This window comes from Homo sapiens, chromosome 12, assembly GCF_000001405.40.
Source record: "Homo sapiens chromosome 12, GRCh38.p14 Primary Assembly".
NCBI lineage: Eukaryota > Metazoa > Chordata > Mammalia > Primates > Hominidae > Homo > Homo sapiens.
In genome coordinates, this window is record NC_000012.12 from 90,813,813 (window position 1) to 90,830,607 (window position 16,795).

Genomic DNA, 16,795 nt, shown 5'->3' on the forward strand with positions numbered 1-16,795 from the left:
AACTGAATATCCTTTCATACACACTACCTGTCTCTTTTCCCTGGTGTTCATACCATTGCACATGGTGCCATTTGACTACATTAAGTAGCTTGTATTTCCTCTCCATCATGATCTTCTTTTATGTCAGTCTTCCCCCATCAGAAAACAAGCTCCAGGAAAGCAGGGATTTGAAAGAGACTGGCACAGATGCTTCCACTTTTGAGAATGCAAGTGAATATGATAGAGAAGCAACTAATATAAACAGAGTTGGGAAAAACTTTCTGCAGAAACCTGAGCTAGATTTAAAGGAATGAACCTCAGAGCATCAATCAAACAGACAGAATGTAACAACAACAGCACTGGTCTGTCACCAGGGCATAACGTTTGTAATGGGCATTCCATTGACCACCATTTTCACTGGTCTCCTCTTCCCAAATATATTAAATCAGAAATAAAAATGTATCAAGCCTTATTATCTCATAAGATCCAGTCAGAGAATAAGGCAGTCTTGTTTTCTTTAGCTTAACTGTTGTACCTCTTCTAGAAACACGAATTCATTTAAACCTGAAGTACAATTAACCTTTGAACAACAGGAGTTTGCACTTCATGGGTCCACTTATACTCTGGTTTTCTTCCATTTCCGCCACATCTGAGACAGCAAGACCAAACTCTTTTCTTCCTCCTCCTCTTCAGGCTACTCGATGAAGAACTTTATGATGATCCACTTCTGCTTAATGAAGAGTAAATATATTTTTCTCTTTCTTATGATGTTCTCAATAACATTCTCTATTCTCCAGCTTACTTTATTGTATGAATACAGTATGTGATATAAATAAGATACAAAATATGTGTTCACAGTTTATGTCATTGGTAAGGCTTCTGGTCAACAGCAGGCTATTAGTGGTTAAGTTTTTGGAGAAGCAAAAATTATATATGAATTTTCAACTATGCAGGTGTCAGCAGTCCTAACCTCTGTGTTCAAGAGTAAACTATTTATTTCAACCAGACTTTAATTCTTGGCTTTTCGATATGAAATAAAAGTTATGCATTAATGCAGAGAAAATGTTAAGAAAGACGGTATATTTAATCTTAAAATGAGAGTCATATTTCTTTGTCATAAACTAGGAGAGTTACTAGTTTTTCATTTCAATTATTTTTGCAATTTATAGTCTTAAAATGACATTAACAAAATATACAAGTCATTATTAACTTTTGCTTACCACACAATATTTTTGAATGACAAGAGGTTTATTTGTGAAGAAAATGTAATCAAAATATGTATTATAGGCATGCTATATACTAAATTATTTTTGTTTGCAAGTTTTATAATTTCTGTATGACTTTAGAAAAAAAGTCATATTTTCTAGTAAAATAACAAGTAAATTTTTAATAAATGACATTTAGTGATATAAATTATCATAGCATCAGTGATAGCCTGAAATATCAATGTTTTTCTTTTCAAGTAGATTTAATTTTTAATAGACTACATTTGTTAGAGTTTATTTTTTTGAAGAAGTTTAGGTTTATAGAAAAATTGGGCCAGGTACATTGGCTCATGCCTATAATTCCAGCACTTTGGGGGGCCAAGGAGTTTGCATCGCTTGAGGTCAAGAGTTCAAGACCAGCCTGGCCAACATGGTGACACACTGTCTCTACTAAAAATACAAATATTAGCCAGGCATGGTGGCACCCACCTGTAATTCCAGCTACTTGGGAGGCCTAAGGTGACAGAATTGCTTGAACTCAGGAGGCAGAGGTTGCAGTGAGCCAAGATCATGCCATTGCATGTCTCTATCTCTTGGCCAGATCAGCCTGGCCAAGAGAGAGAGACTCGTCTCAAAAAAAAAAAAATGAGCAGAAAATATAGAGAGTGTTTATGTATCTACCCTCCATACAGTTTTTTCTATAATTGTTATGTTATAATTGATAAGAAAATGTTGATATATTATTATTAACTAAAAGCCATAGTGTATATTAGGGTTCACTCTTCGTGTCGCTCTTATATAGTCAACTTGACTTTGTGGTTGGACAAATGTGTAATGACTTGTATCAACTATTACAGTATCAAACGTTCCCTGCTTATAATCTTACAAGAAAAACAAAAACAAAATAAAGTAACTGTATGTCTTGTTAAAATTTTATTGTGCATTTAACACATATTTACTTTAACTAACAATTTTTTCCCTACTGTCTTTAGAAAAGCCAACCAGATATGACATGTATAGAAAAGTGTATGTATGTTTGTGGGGAGATATTGCTCCCTTAACAACTGGACAATTAAAGAACCAAATGAAATATAAGCAACATTTATTAATTGTTCATAAAGATGACTGAAATATTAATTACCAATTAAACTATTATGGAGGTTAACTAAACCAGATAAGAGCTAGAGAACCTTTATCTGGAAAAAAAATTTAAGCTTAAAACATATACTTTTATATGAAACGAGTCACGGCAAATTGATTAGGTCACTTGTTAAAACAATGATTAACAATCTTTATTGTGTATTAAAAATCACTTTGAATATTTATCAAATTTAAATTTTGTGTTTGACTCTCTGGGAATCTGATTGAGTAGCACTGGTGTGGCAACATCCAGATATTTGCTATTTTTAACAGAAAAAGAAACCAGAATGATTTGGATAGAACTAGTGCATAGACCAGACTGCGAGAAGCAACCTTGAAAATGGAGCCAAGTTTGAACTCTCAGACAACCCTGTGTAGTTACTTTTAGCACACAAGCATTTATATTTGTGCTCACTGTCAAAGCAGACAGGTAGATGCCACCTCAGCAAATGACTTGGCCCACACATTCACTGTGCATACGAATTCTAAATCATTTTACTGATGGCTTTTTAACCTATCTCCAGTAAAGTAAAGCTTCTTTTTGAAGGGTGTTCCAGGATGTAATTGCCATTATGTTCAAGAAGTTGTTATGCTCTATTGTGTTTGCTCCAATTGGTCAAGGTGTGCCTATTCAATCTTGTTTATGACTCTTTGATGACTAATAACTGACTTCCATTCTCCATATGAAAACAGTAATGGAGCCAATTCAAATAATTATATTTTCTTCAGATTAACTGCCTCCCACCACTTTAACCTTCCTTCATAGTGTCTCCTCCACACCCTGACTCATTTTTATTATTCACCAGATTCTTTTTTTCTTCCTAAAACTATTGAAAACTGACACAATACTCTGCTGATGACTAACGTAAAATATAGTGGAACAATTTCAAGACTCTGTAAGGGTAGCTTTCACACTACTACTACTACTGTTATTTGAGTAAAGTTGTGGCTTACATAATGCTTCCACATGCACCATTCTACTTATTAGACAACCCTGTGAAGTGGATTCAAATACTCTCATTTTATAGATAAGAACAATTTAGATCTAGAAATAGTAAGGAACTTAAATCCAATTTACACAACAATGTTTTCTTGTTTCCCTGTTCTTGTTACTACCCTTCTGTACTTCATCTTAATATAGAATGGCCAGGAGATAAGTGAAGCTATAGAACTGACTGGGTGATTCCAGAAATTGGAGCTATAGAGTCCCATAGTAACTTATGAATTGTCCTACAGTGCAGTCCTACAGCTCCGTTATGATAATCCTCCAGATGAAGCTATGTTCAAGACTGGACTAGATCTTGTGCTATAAAGCCACACTGGAACCATCTCCAATTCCCCACCTTGCTTCAGTTTTATATTCTTGCAGATAGCCTCTTTGAATCCATCAGGTAAGAACACAGAAATTTAAAATTGTGTCTTTTATGAGTCTAATTACATTCTAAATTTACATTTTTCTTCTCTGAGTCTCTATTTTCGTTTTGTATGTATATAATCATCTAACCATCACAACAATCAAGACATAAAGTATTTCCACCTCCCCCTCAAAAATTCTTTCATGTTCCTTTGTCATCAATCCTCTGCTGCCATCTCCGCCCCTGGAAAGTACTGATTTGATTTCAGTTACCATAGGTTTACCTTTCCCGAATATGACATAAGGAATGAAGTCTGTTGAGTCTGACTTCATTCACTTAGCATAATTCTATGTAGATTCATCTGTGTTTTTGTGTATAGTAGTAGTTTTTCTTTGTTACTGAGAAGCATATACATACATATAACACAATTTGTTTATTCCTCATTTGGTGAACAATGGGTTATTTCCAATTTTCGGATATTATGAAGAAATATCTAAAAAATCATTCACATACAGTTATTTTCATGACTATACATATTCTTTCTATTTAAAAAAATAGCTTGGAGTGGGATTGCAGGACTATCTGATATATATGTAGGTTTAACTTTATAAAAAACTGCCAAGCTGTTTTCCAAAATATCTGTACTACCTTGCATTTCTACCAGCAATGTTGAGAGTTCCAGTTACTTTTTATGTTCAACAGCAGTTGTATTTGTTTTAGTTTTAGCCATTATAGTACATATGTAGTAGTATCTCACTTTGGAATTTATATGTATTTATCTAATGATTAGTTATGTTGAGAATGTTCTTATGAGCTTACATGACATTAGTATCTTATCTGTGAAGTGAATTTTCAAATCTTTTGTCCATTTTTTTTAAGTTGGAATTTTTTCTGAGTACAGAGAGTTAAGAGTTTTAATGTATTACTAAATACAGTCTTCTATGGAATATATTTTGTAAAGATTTATTTCAGTGTTTGGCTTAACTCTGTTTTCTTAACAGTATCTTTCAAGGCAAGATAGGTTTTTTGTAATTTTGTGAAGTTAAGTACACATATTTTCCTGTGGTTCATGACTTTTGTATTTTAAGAAATCGTTGCTTAGCCAGTGTCACTAGGAATTTCCTTTATGTTTTCTCCTAGAAGTTTTATTGCATTAGGTTTTGGGTATATGTTCCATTTCAAGTTGTCTTTTTTTTTTGTTTGCTTGTTTGTTGTAAAAATAACCAATTGTTCCAGCATCATTTTTTGAAAAGACTTTTCTTTTTTCATTGAATCATCTTGGCATCTTTTCTGAAGACTCAATTGACCACTTTGTGTGTCAATTTATTTCTGGGTGCTCTATTCAGTTCCATTGATCTGCATGTCTGTTCTCATACCAGTACCACACTGTTTTCATTGTGATCACATTACAGTATATAATCAAATCACGTAGTGTGAGTTTTCTCATGTTCTTCTTCTTCTTCAAAATTATTTGACCATTCCATTCTAGTTTCTTTGCTTTTCTAGATTCAGAATATCAATTTCTACAAAAATCTAGGATATTTATTGGTATTTGGAGATCAACTTGAATGAAATTGATGCCTTAATGATATTAATTTTTCTAATGCATGAACATATTATATCACTCAATTTATTTAGTTGCTATTTACTTTCTCATCAATATTTTATAGTTTTGAGCATAAAAATGTTACAAATATTTTGCTAATTTATCACTAAATAATTCGGTTTTAAATGCTATTATAAATCCGATGCACTTAACTTTTGGAAGCCACCATGCCTCTAGCCAATAGGACATTTAATCTGAGTACTGTGGTGGTTTCTGGCCTTGCTCGAGCAAAGCAAAGCACCTGGAGATCAGAGCTAGTTCAGAATATTAGGAGGAAGATCTTTACAACTTATTTGCTCAACTGTCTAATCTACAATGTCCACTGACTCCATAATTTAGTTCAGCAAGAATGGTGACATTCTAACAACTTGGAACCAGTATTACTGATGATAAAAAGGGAGCCTTGTATATCTTCGTTAAAATTTGTTGGCTATCTTACACATACTGGGAAGAAGTGGCTGGAGCAGAGAAGAGATATCACTATTGTCCTGTAGACCTTCTTTACTGGGTACAAGGTGGAGTCCTAGTTTTTAAAGGCCTTGAAGGTGATTCTGACCTTCAATCAGAGTTGAGAACTATAGACCCTCTGCTAAATCCCCATTACTGTCTTCATCTTGCCAATCTTGTAATGTATTCACTTATTTATTTTTATTCAAAGAAAAACAAAATTATATAAACATATGTTAATGCAACATTATGTGAAAATATGCTCATAGTTCTTTGGATTCTAAATACAGTCAATCCAGCATGAATATTCATAGTACAGTTAACTGAGCTGCATATTCTTGTTTGCATTGAAAATTGATGGGGATAAATGAAACTGCCTTGCATACAAATTCTTTTGACTACTTGCTGTCAACATCTTATTGCTTTACAGCCCTATTTAGCTCCATTTATATTGCCTTTTGCATATCAGTGAAAATCAACCAAAATGATGTAAATACATGTGAGGGATATAATCCATTATTCCATGCTACAAGTGAGGATGAAAAAAGAGCTCAGAAATCCCAGGGAAAAAAAGCATCAGTGGACATGAATGCATTGCATTGGGGGTTGGGGTGCTCTTATGTAGAAAATAAATGTCATTTTGCCAAAACTAAGGTAGTCAAAATGATTTCATTCTGATATACAATAAAGATGAAGACCAAGTTGACCAAAGACTAGCCAAAAGACCCTCTTTGCCACTAACTTGATTTTAAAAATCAGCCAGAACTATTTAAGTCTTGATCTTTTATATTAAATATCCAGGTAGTTGAAATCCAACTTAGCGGTCTATTTTTTAATTCAAGTACTTCAGCTCCAGGTTTATTTTTATGAGTCAGAGAAACAAAAAATTGATTTTAAAAAGTCATTATTCAATAATCTTCTTCTAAATTATTTCCTTTCTATAATTTGTTATATTGAATTTGTTGAAATTAATTTAAATTATTTTTATAAGAGGAGCTATCAAAAATTGGTTACAGTTCACTTGGCATTTCATATTTATATCTTGAGTTTCTAATTATTGTGTATCTTGCTTACAGTTCACTTGGCATTTCATATTTATATCTTGAGTTTCTAATTATTGTGTATCTTTGATGACCTTCTGGCAACCATGTTATATCCTACCCCAGATGAATTAATGTGCATTATAACTATGGAAACATAGTCCAGGTTAACAACAACAACAAAAATCTGCTGCTACCTAATCAATTGAACAAACGTTTTAAAATGTCCTCAGAATCACAGAATTAGTACTTAACTGGACAGAGTAATATGAATGAAAGACAGTCTGTATAGCTATTGAAAGTCAGAATTACATTACATGGCTTCATATCGCACCCACACGCACCGAATTTCAGTATATCACATTTTCCTTTCAAAATGTTTGTTAGGTATCTTTCTAAATGGGTTGAAGGATGATTCCAATTTAAAATTTTCTAAAATAAATTAGAACTTTAAGTAAATTTATTAGACTTTGGAACTTATCATAATGGATTGGCTCAAGTTTAAGACTAAAATAAGAATCTAGCCTTTCAGTTATAATCTTTGAATTTCCATTTTATTTAGATGTGATCAAATTCACTCAAAAAGCAAATTTTAAAATGGTTTGATTTTTCTAATATCTGCCATCTTAAAAATTACTAATATTTTTTGTTTAAGGGAAACAGATTACAGATTCTTTTTTAAATAGCGTATCTTAAAATGAAAAGGTAAAACCAAAACAACAACAAAAACAGAGACTTACTACCGATGTTCTTCGATTTATGACAGGTTTATGTCCCAATAAACCTATCGTAATTTGAAAATATTGTAAATTAAAAGTATGTTTTGCTTAGAATATTTTGTATTTATGATGAGTGTTTCCAGATGTAAACCCATCATAAATTGAGGCGCTTACTAAAAGCCTGTCAATTTAGCACCATTGTAAAGTCCCAAAATCGTTAAGTCAAATCGTTGTAAGTTGGGGATTTTTTGTATTAGATATGTGATATCGTAATTTAGATAAGGTTTAACCCACATGTGAAATCCTAAAGATGACGGGTGATTTCTAGACTATTTTTTTCTTAGAGACTTCATAATCTGGAACTATGTTAAGGCCTAACTTTCACACCATTGACACAAACATGTTAATCATTTAAAAAGAAAGAAAATCAGCTACAGAAAAAAAAAAACAAAAAACATTGTAAGAGCAAGAAAAAAATTTTCCCCCTTTGCTGAAAATGTTGTAGCTAAAGCCCCCAAAATTCCCAGATGAATAAATTATAAGACAAACTTCAGCAATTCTACAGGACTGGTGTCAGCAGTGAACAAACTGGTTGTGAACATCACCGGCACTTGGATCCAGGCCTTCATCGTCCTGGATAAAACTCCTTTTTACCTTCCCAACATCCTGGCACATTCTTTCTTTTATAGGATCTCATTTGTATGCACACTCAGTGTTCTCAGGCTGCCCTCTGGCCCTTTTAAAATATAATCTCAATGGCAAAATGTCACCTAGCACTTCCCTTCATCACACATGTCCATTTCAAATTTATCCCTCCCTCTAATTCTCTTTAAAATCAGAATGCCATCTTTAAAGTAATTCATGCCTTGTTTTGTGATATTACTATACCTGCTCCATACATTTATCCATCATTCTATTTTAATGATTCTAAAATGCACATTTTTTAAAAAATTAGTAGTATTTGAATTAAATCTTACATTTAATGTGTTTAATTGATGTGACTGTATCAATTGTGTTTTTACACTGGTGTTATGGAATTGAGAAAATGTAGTACTTCTTTATGGGCTTTTACCTCTAAAAACGTATTTTCCTAAACAGGGTGTGTATAACATTAATGGTATATGAGTGACTCTAGATGACACATCAATAAATGTGCTATGTTATGTTAATAGTTGTATGTGTATTTTAATGTATTACAGGAAAAATATATTGTGCACTTTAAACTCATGATTTTCAGGCATAAAATTGCTTAGAATTAAACTAAGTTGGCCAGGCGTGGTGGCTCACACCTATAATCGCAGCACTTTGGGAGGCCGAGGTGGGCAGATCACAAGGTTAGGAGTTCGAGACCAGCCTGGCTAGTATGGTGAAACCCCTTCTCTACTAAAAATACAAAAATTAGCTGGGCATGGTGGTGCGGGCCTGTAGTCCCACCTACTCAGGAGGCTGAGGCAGGAGAATCGCTTGAACCCGGGAGGAGGAGGTTGCAGTGAGCTGACATTGTGCCACTGCACTCCAGCCTGGGCGACAGAGTGAGATGCTGTCGCAAAAAAAAAAAAAAAAGAATTAAACTAAGTTTAAAAAAAAAGTTAATTTAAATTAGAGTGAGAAAAAAATCCAGAGTAATAATAATAGTGCAGATGGGACAGGAAAATCATGAGTTCCATAAGGGCAAGGGATGTGCCTTCTTCATTTTTGAATCTCCAAAGCTTCATAATTAGCACATTACGTGTATTGCATTTCTTTGAATATTGAATGCTTAGTCTCATTTATGGTGGATTATATGATCTGAAAAATTTACCCCAAAGAGTGAAATGCTTGATCTATAAAAATACTTCTTCAAGAACAGAAGTATTTTAAAAGAAGAGCTTGTGATTCTCGATGAGTTTTTTAAAAAGGAAAAAATTGGTTTGTGCTCTCTAAGTGCATGGAATGGCTTTAGGTGCCCCCACCACCAGCTTTGCCCATTCTTTCCTCAGCACACCTTAAGACTGAAGTTATTCACATTGTATTTCCTTAGAATGCTTGATCATCCCTGTTAAACTACCATAGCCTAAATCAGAAACTTCCAAATTGTTACTTCATGTAAACACATTTTCAACTACATGGTACATGGAGTAGAATGCAGACTCCACACTTAGGTTTTTATTAGAGTTATGGTTTCTACTTCCCTCTTTTTCTGGCATCTCTTTTTCCTCACTCTGCACATAGCATTGAATGCCAATGGGTTGAACACTGTGATGATGATGTTTGGGGTCGGTATCTTTTACTTTTTTCTGTTTTTCCTTCTTCTTCTTTTTTTTTTTTCTTTTTTCAGACATGATCTCACTTTGTTGCCCCAAGCTGGAGTGCAGTGGCACAATCTCAGCTCACTGCAGCCTCAACCTCCCAGACGCAAGTGCACCTCCAGCCGCAGCCTCCCAGGTAGCTTGGACTACATGCATGTGCCAGCATGCACAGCAAATTTTGTTCAATTTATTTATTTTTTTTAGAGACGGTGTGTAGCTATGCTGCCCAGGCTGACTTTGAACTCTTGGGCTCAAGTAATCCTTTCCCCTTAGCCTCCCAACGGCTGGTGATAGGTGACAACGTGCTAGCAGCCCTTGCTCGCTCTCCGCACCTCCTCACCTTCCCGGCCTGGGCGTCCACTCTGGCCGTGCTCAAGGAGCCCTTCAGCCCGCCGCTGCGCTGTGAGGGCCCTTCTCTGGGGCTGGCTGAGGCCGGAGCCGGCTCCCTCTGCTCGCGGGGAGGTGTGGAGGGAGAGGCGCGGGCGGGAGCCGGGGCTGCGTGCCGCACTCGCGGGCCAGCGCGGGTTCCGGGTGGGGCGGGCTTGGAGGGCCCGCACTCTGGCTTGGCCTGCCGGCGCCTGCTGGGCTTGACTAGGGGAGCCGGAATGCCCAGGCTAGGTGCCGCAAAGTCCTGCAGCCAGTGCCATTGAGAGGTGAAGCCGGCTGGGCTTCTTGGTTGTGTGGGGACCTGGAGAACTTTTCTGTCTAGCTAAGGGTTTATAAAGGCACCAATCAGCCTTCTGTATCTAGCTAATCTGGTGGGGACTTGGAAAACTATTGTGTCTAGCTAAAAGATTGTAAAGGCACAAATCAGCACTCTGTGTCTAGCTAAAGATTTGTAAATGCACCAATCAGCACTCTGTCAAAACAAACCAATCAGCTCTCTGTAAAATGGACCAGTCAGCGCTCTGTAAAAGGGACCAATCAGCTGTCTGTAAAATGGATCAATCAGCTCTCTGTAAAATGGACCAATCAGCAGGATGTGGGTGGGGCCAGATAAGGGAATAAAAGCAAGCCATGCAAACTAGCAGTGACAACCCGCTGGGGTCCCCTTCCAAGCTGTGGAAGATTTGTACTCTTGTGCTTTGCAATGAATCTTGCTGTCGCTCACTCTTTGGGTCTGTGCTGCGTTTATAAGCTGCAATACTCACTGAGAAGGTCTACAGCTTAACTCCTGAAGCCAGCGAGACCATGAACCCACCGGGAGGGATGAACAACTCCAGATGGGAGGAAAGAACAACTCTTGACGTGCTGCCTTTAAGAGCTGTAACACTCATGGTGAAGAGCTGCAGCTTCACTCCTGAAGACAGCGAGACCACAGACCAACCGGGAGGGACGAACAACTCCAGGCAGGAGGAAAGAACAACTCCGGACGCGTCGCCTTTAAGAGCTGTAACACTCACTGCAAAGTTTTGCAGCTTCACTCCTGAAGCCAGCCAGAGCACGAACCCACCGGGAGAGATGAACAACTCCAGACGGAGGAAAGAACAACTCAACTCCGGAAGCGCCGCCTTTAAGAGCTGTAACACTCAACTGCAAAGGCCCAGAAGGAAGAAACTCCAGACACATCTGAACATCTGAAGGAACAAACTCTGGACACAACATCTTTAATAACTATACCACTCACTGCAAGGGTCCGCGGCTTCATTCTTGAAGTCAGGGAGACCAAGAACCCACCAATTCTGGACACACTGGGATTACAAGCGAAAGCCACCACACCTGGCCAATGCTGTTTTCTCTCCATTGAAAGGCCTAGTGAGGGACCATAAGAAAACCAATTCCAGAAATACTTTGTGCTTCTGCAGTTTTCAAGAATGTAAAGACCTAATTCTCATAGCTTGGTGTAGAGAAAGGTTTTATCTCACCCCCCTTAATTATTGTTAAGCAGTAAAATTAGCACTAGACTAGAAATCAAGTATCTTGTTGTCATGTATGCCATAACTGCCTTATTCTAATTCCTTCATCCTTCCTCTGTACCTCAGTCTTCTTTGCAGTAAAATAAAAGCTTCATTTAGATGATTTCCAGGGCTGACTTCCATCTTGAAGTTTCCTTGAGCCTATCATAGTTTAGCATAGTTAGACTATAGCTGGCGTAAGGAGGGACTATAAAATAAATGAGTTTAGCATCATTGCCCACCCACCTGAGTGTCTATTAAGAGAAAAAAAAAAAAAACTCAGCTGTCATCATGACAATTGATTCATTGTTAACTCCTTTGTTACCCTCTCTCACTTCTTTCCAAGTGATTTATTCGTCTGTTGTAAACAGACATAGAGTATGAATAAAAATAACCAGAATGATGGCCTCCATAAGCTGTCACTGAAAGGCCTGGTAGTTTATATGAAATTGAATAGAATCCTTAAAACAAGGAAGATACCACAAAGAACATAGGGTGCGCAGTACATGCATGTGTGTGAGTGTGCGTGTGTCCGTGTGTGTGTGTGTGCGTTTTCAGAGCAGAGTTATTACAATTTACAGAAAAGACTAGGTGAAATATGTTCTCCCTCAGATGAATCCTTTAAACTTTCAAGTAAAATTCCCAAATGGATCTAGATTACAGCCAACTGCCTCCACCCTATCCCCAGTGACAAATACAAGACAGCTGCTAAATTTAACATGCCTTTACTGGAACACCAGTGCCTGCTGCACAATAGCAGGCTATGTGCTGCCAATCCACAGGATGCACTCAATTTCTGAATTGCTGCACAGCAGCCCTGCTGATCCTTAATCCTTGTGAATATAGCACTGACACGTGGCCAAGACCTTCAGAGGACTGATTTTTAAGGGAAAAAATAGGAACAAAAGGAAAGAAAAAGCTCAGCGCAACATGTTAAGACACATCCTGTGAGGCAAAAAAATTTGAGATGGGGAAAAAAATGACTCAAATAAATTTAAAGACACGCAGTCTCCAATATACAGATGGTTCGTATTCTAAAAGTTCATTCGCAGATGAGTTGTTTCAAAATGGGAATGTATTCCTCCATAAAAACAATGTTTTACGTGTCAGTTGGGTACCCAAGTTAGGCCATAAGATCCTATTTAATCCAGAATGTGCCTGATGTAACTAATATACAAATGATATGGAATCCATCACTTATAATAATATGTTGGTTGAAAAAATAATCAGACATGCATCATACATGCTGTTAGCCTGATTCATTCATTCACTGAACACTTAATAAGTTGTAGGTGGGACTACATGGCCAATGATACAGGTCTAATTCCTATCTTCATCGAACTTACTAAAATCATGATTGATATGCTTAGGTACTAGCAATATGTTCAACTGATACTGACTGCAGAGAAGGCAACTGGATACTCCAATATATAGTGTTCATATGACTCAGTCAGCAGCGCCATTCTTATGTTTGGTATATATGGGAAAAGGAAGAGTCAATTCAGTGAGTCACATAAAATATTGCATATAGGTGTTAGCAACATGGATCTGAGTGGTCAGGATCCCAATTAGTGTCTATGGGCTTCAGGAAAACTGTCAAGAGATAGGTAGGTTAAGAGTATCATGAGTGGGAAAGACATTGACATATATGATAGTCATTGATCCCTAAATGAGAAAGAGGACCGTCCAGAGCCAATATATAAATTACTTCTTATGCCTGTCTTGGAGGGTTAAAGGACTGAGTCCCTAAAACTCATATTTGTCTAAGTTTTTTGGATCTGTTGAATTTATTTGAGGCATGATCACTAACCAGAGTTAAAGCTGATTCTTCCTTTTGAATAAGCTTTCTTTCTTTCCCTATTTTCTTCAGCCTCTGGGTCCAGTCTCACTTGTGATCCTGTGGTAGGCACCATTATGGCTAGAACCTATTTGCTTCCCATTGGCAGTTTCGAACATCCTGCAGCGGACTCATTTCTCTTACATTTTAATCATATTAGATCCCCCATCTAAGTTTCTGCCAACAGAAACCCAGTAAATAATCAGGTCATCTGCCAAGGTGACCCTTTAAGGTACCCTAGCAACTTTTTCATAATAGAAACATGTTCTGCACACACAAAAACAATTCAATATAAGTAGGCATGTTCTCAAGAAGAGGGCTTTTTGCTCAAAGAGTGCAAAAGAATTTAGAACTGTGGTTGTGTGGACTACCTGGACTTCTTGCTAACATAGCTATCTAAAGTGGCTCCCAGTTAAGTCTTGGCTCCATACCATCTGCTCATTCCTCATGAAGAACACAGGAAGTAGCCTCTGCACTATTTCTCTTTTCAGTTTCACTGTGTCTTTCCTTCTCTGGCTTGATGCTGGTGCCAAGAATAGTCCTGGAGCTTTCCTGATACTCTATAATCCCAGAATTGGCCACTTTTGAAAATTCAAGGGGCTTTTCTGCTGCAAGGAAAGAAAAATAGCTGTGCACTCAAAGATTCCTGCCTGTCCTCTTTTTCTTATTATTTTATTTTTCTCCTTAAACTCTGTAGAGGAAGACGAAGGGACACATAGGTGATAACAGTGGGACTCAGGGTTTACAAAAGGCAAAGTTAAAAGTTAACTTCTTTATTTCAAAGGAAATTTAGACTTCAGGGGCTCAAGGAATGAGTATTCCAGGAAGATATCCGTCCTTCATTGTGGATAAGCCTTGCTGAGTTGAAAATGAGGATATTTATTTCAGAATAATTGTGATCTCAGGGAGCAATAGGGTAGGGTCTTTAAGAAGAAAAGATGTTTCTAATTCTCTAACCAAGTTTTGCAAGTGAAGATATAGGGAAAGGGCAGTTAAGAATAGAATGAGGCTAGTGCCACAAAGAAATTGTGAGGTGGTGATGAAGGTAAATAAACAAGAAAGTCTAAATACTACTTAGCAGCAGGGCTAGTTTGAGTTAATATAGGTTCATTCTGCTAATCTCACCTCAGAATGCAAGGAAATAAATCCAGTGCCTGGCAAGTCCCATTCAGGATTGTACTAGGGCCTTTGCAATTCAGATATTAAGGGATGGCCCCTTGTAGGTAAAAGAAGTAGTAACTTGGCTCTAGGTCACTGCTTTATACGTATAATTTCTATTCTGTACAACAAACCTGAAAGAAAGGAACTGTTGTCTCCATTATAAAGAAGAGAGAACTGATGTTCAGAGAGGTTAAAAATAACTTGTTCCAGGTAACAGAACAAAAAAGGTAGAACAACTTGAACCCTGGTTAGTTTGATATGCAAACCCATTTTATCCCTATTGCCCCAGGCTGACTCTCCACCTACTAGCTGCAAAGCAAATAAACCACATTGGCCTAGAGCTGAGCAGGAAGGAGACAAATTGTAAGCATTGTAGTCCTACCTTTGACTCTCTTGTTTGAATGTGTCTGTGAGTGTAGGGAAACCGTCTTAACGTGGGAAGGTAATAAAATAGAAAAAAATCCTGTGTCCCTAATGCCATTTTTCTATATAATCAAGCCAACATGGCCCACTTCCAGACCCCAAGTTATAGAATAAATAACTCCCTATTTATGTAATTCATAATTCACAGTATTCTTGCAGTTAAGCCTGATCCCAACTTGTATAATAATAGGGCACCCTGTACAGCAGCAGAGTGCAGATTCTGGAGCAGAATATCTGGCTTCAAATCCCAGTTCTGCCACTGACTGGCTTTATAATGTAGAGCAAGTTTCCCAACCCTCTTTGCCTTAGTTTCATCATATGTGAAACTTAAATGGTATTTACTAGTTCAAACTGATTTAATGAGGTAGAAGTCAATATTTGTAAAAGACTAGGAATTGCACCTGGCATGTAGGAAGTGCTATATACAAAGGCTTTTTTTTTTTTATTTGTTTGTGTGTGTTTCGTGTGTGTGTGTGTGTGTCTTTTAAATAAAATTGTTTCAATTTCCCCATGTAGTAATTTTAATAATTGTACATTTTTCTTTTGTAGTTGTATAAAGTTTCTGTGTGTCAGACATACTCATTTTCAAATATAAAGCTGTCATATTATACTCCTTGTTTAAACTTAGAATACTAGTATTTTCCACTAACAAAATTAAAGTTTATATGTGTGTGTGTATATATATGTAATAAAGACCACTCTATATGATACATAAGTATTTGTGACTGACTTCTGAATCTACTCTCTCATTTTAATTTCTTTAGCTCCTCTGAGAATTATTTAAGTTGGCTATATCAACCTCATTTAACAGATGAAAAAATAGGAAGCTTACCGACATACTCAAAATTATGTAGCTAGTGAGAGAACTGAGACAAAATCCATACCTTTTGATACCAAATTAGTGTAACTTGTATAACTGTATGATAATATGCCATGTGGCAATTTTATATAATTTTCCTTTATTAATATTGTAATAGTGACCTCTCATCAGTAGCCCCTGGTTGGTAAAATGACTTCAGTTATCTTTAATTAAGTGTTTAACATACATTTAAGTAAATATATAAAAGGATATAAATTAAGATTGATCTAAACCAACATGGAAATGATCTTACCCAAATTTCCAGATTCCCTTGCAGCTGAGATGGTCACAAAACTCAGTCCTGGACAATGAGATAAGAATTCTGAGGGAATTCTGGAAACACTTTTGCTAATGTTTCTCCATAAACTTTGTTCAAAGTTCAGCTCTCACTTTTTTCGGCAGGAATCAATCAGTCAGTTTTATGAAAGATGGCAGAAGTGCCAAGTAAGAACAGAACAGAACAGTGCTTGTGAATTTGGCAGCTTGAAGGATTAGTTCTTAACAAAAGTTGAAGTGGCATGGAGTTAATTAGTGATGTGATGAGATGGGGTGTCTACTGAAATTTTTGTTGTTGTTGTTTGTTTTTTTGTAGAGATGGGGTTTCACCATGTTCTGCAGGTTGGTCTTGAACTTCTAGGCTCAAGTGATCCACGTACTTCGGCTTTCTGAAGTGCTGGGATTACAGGTGTGAGCCGCAGCTCCTGGCTGTCTATTAAACTCTCATTCAGAATGTAAGTCATGGAAGTATTTTTTGTAGCATCAACTAGTGATGTCTGTCAAAATGTAAAATGCACTCTTGAGAGCCAGAGATTTTACTTCTAGGGATCTATTCATAGCAGCA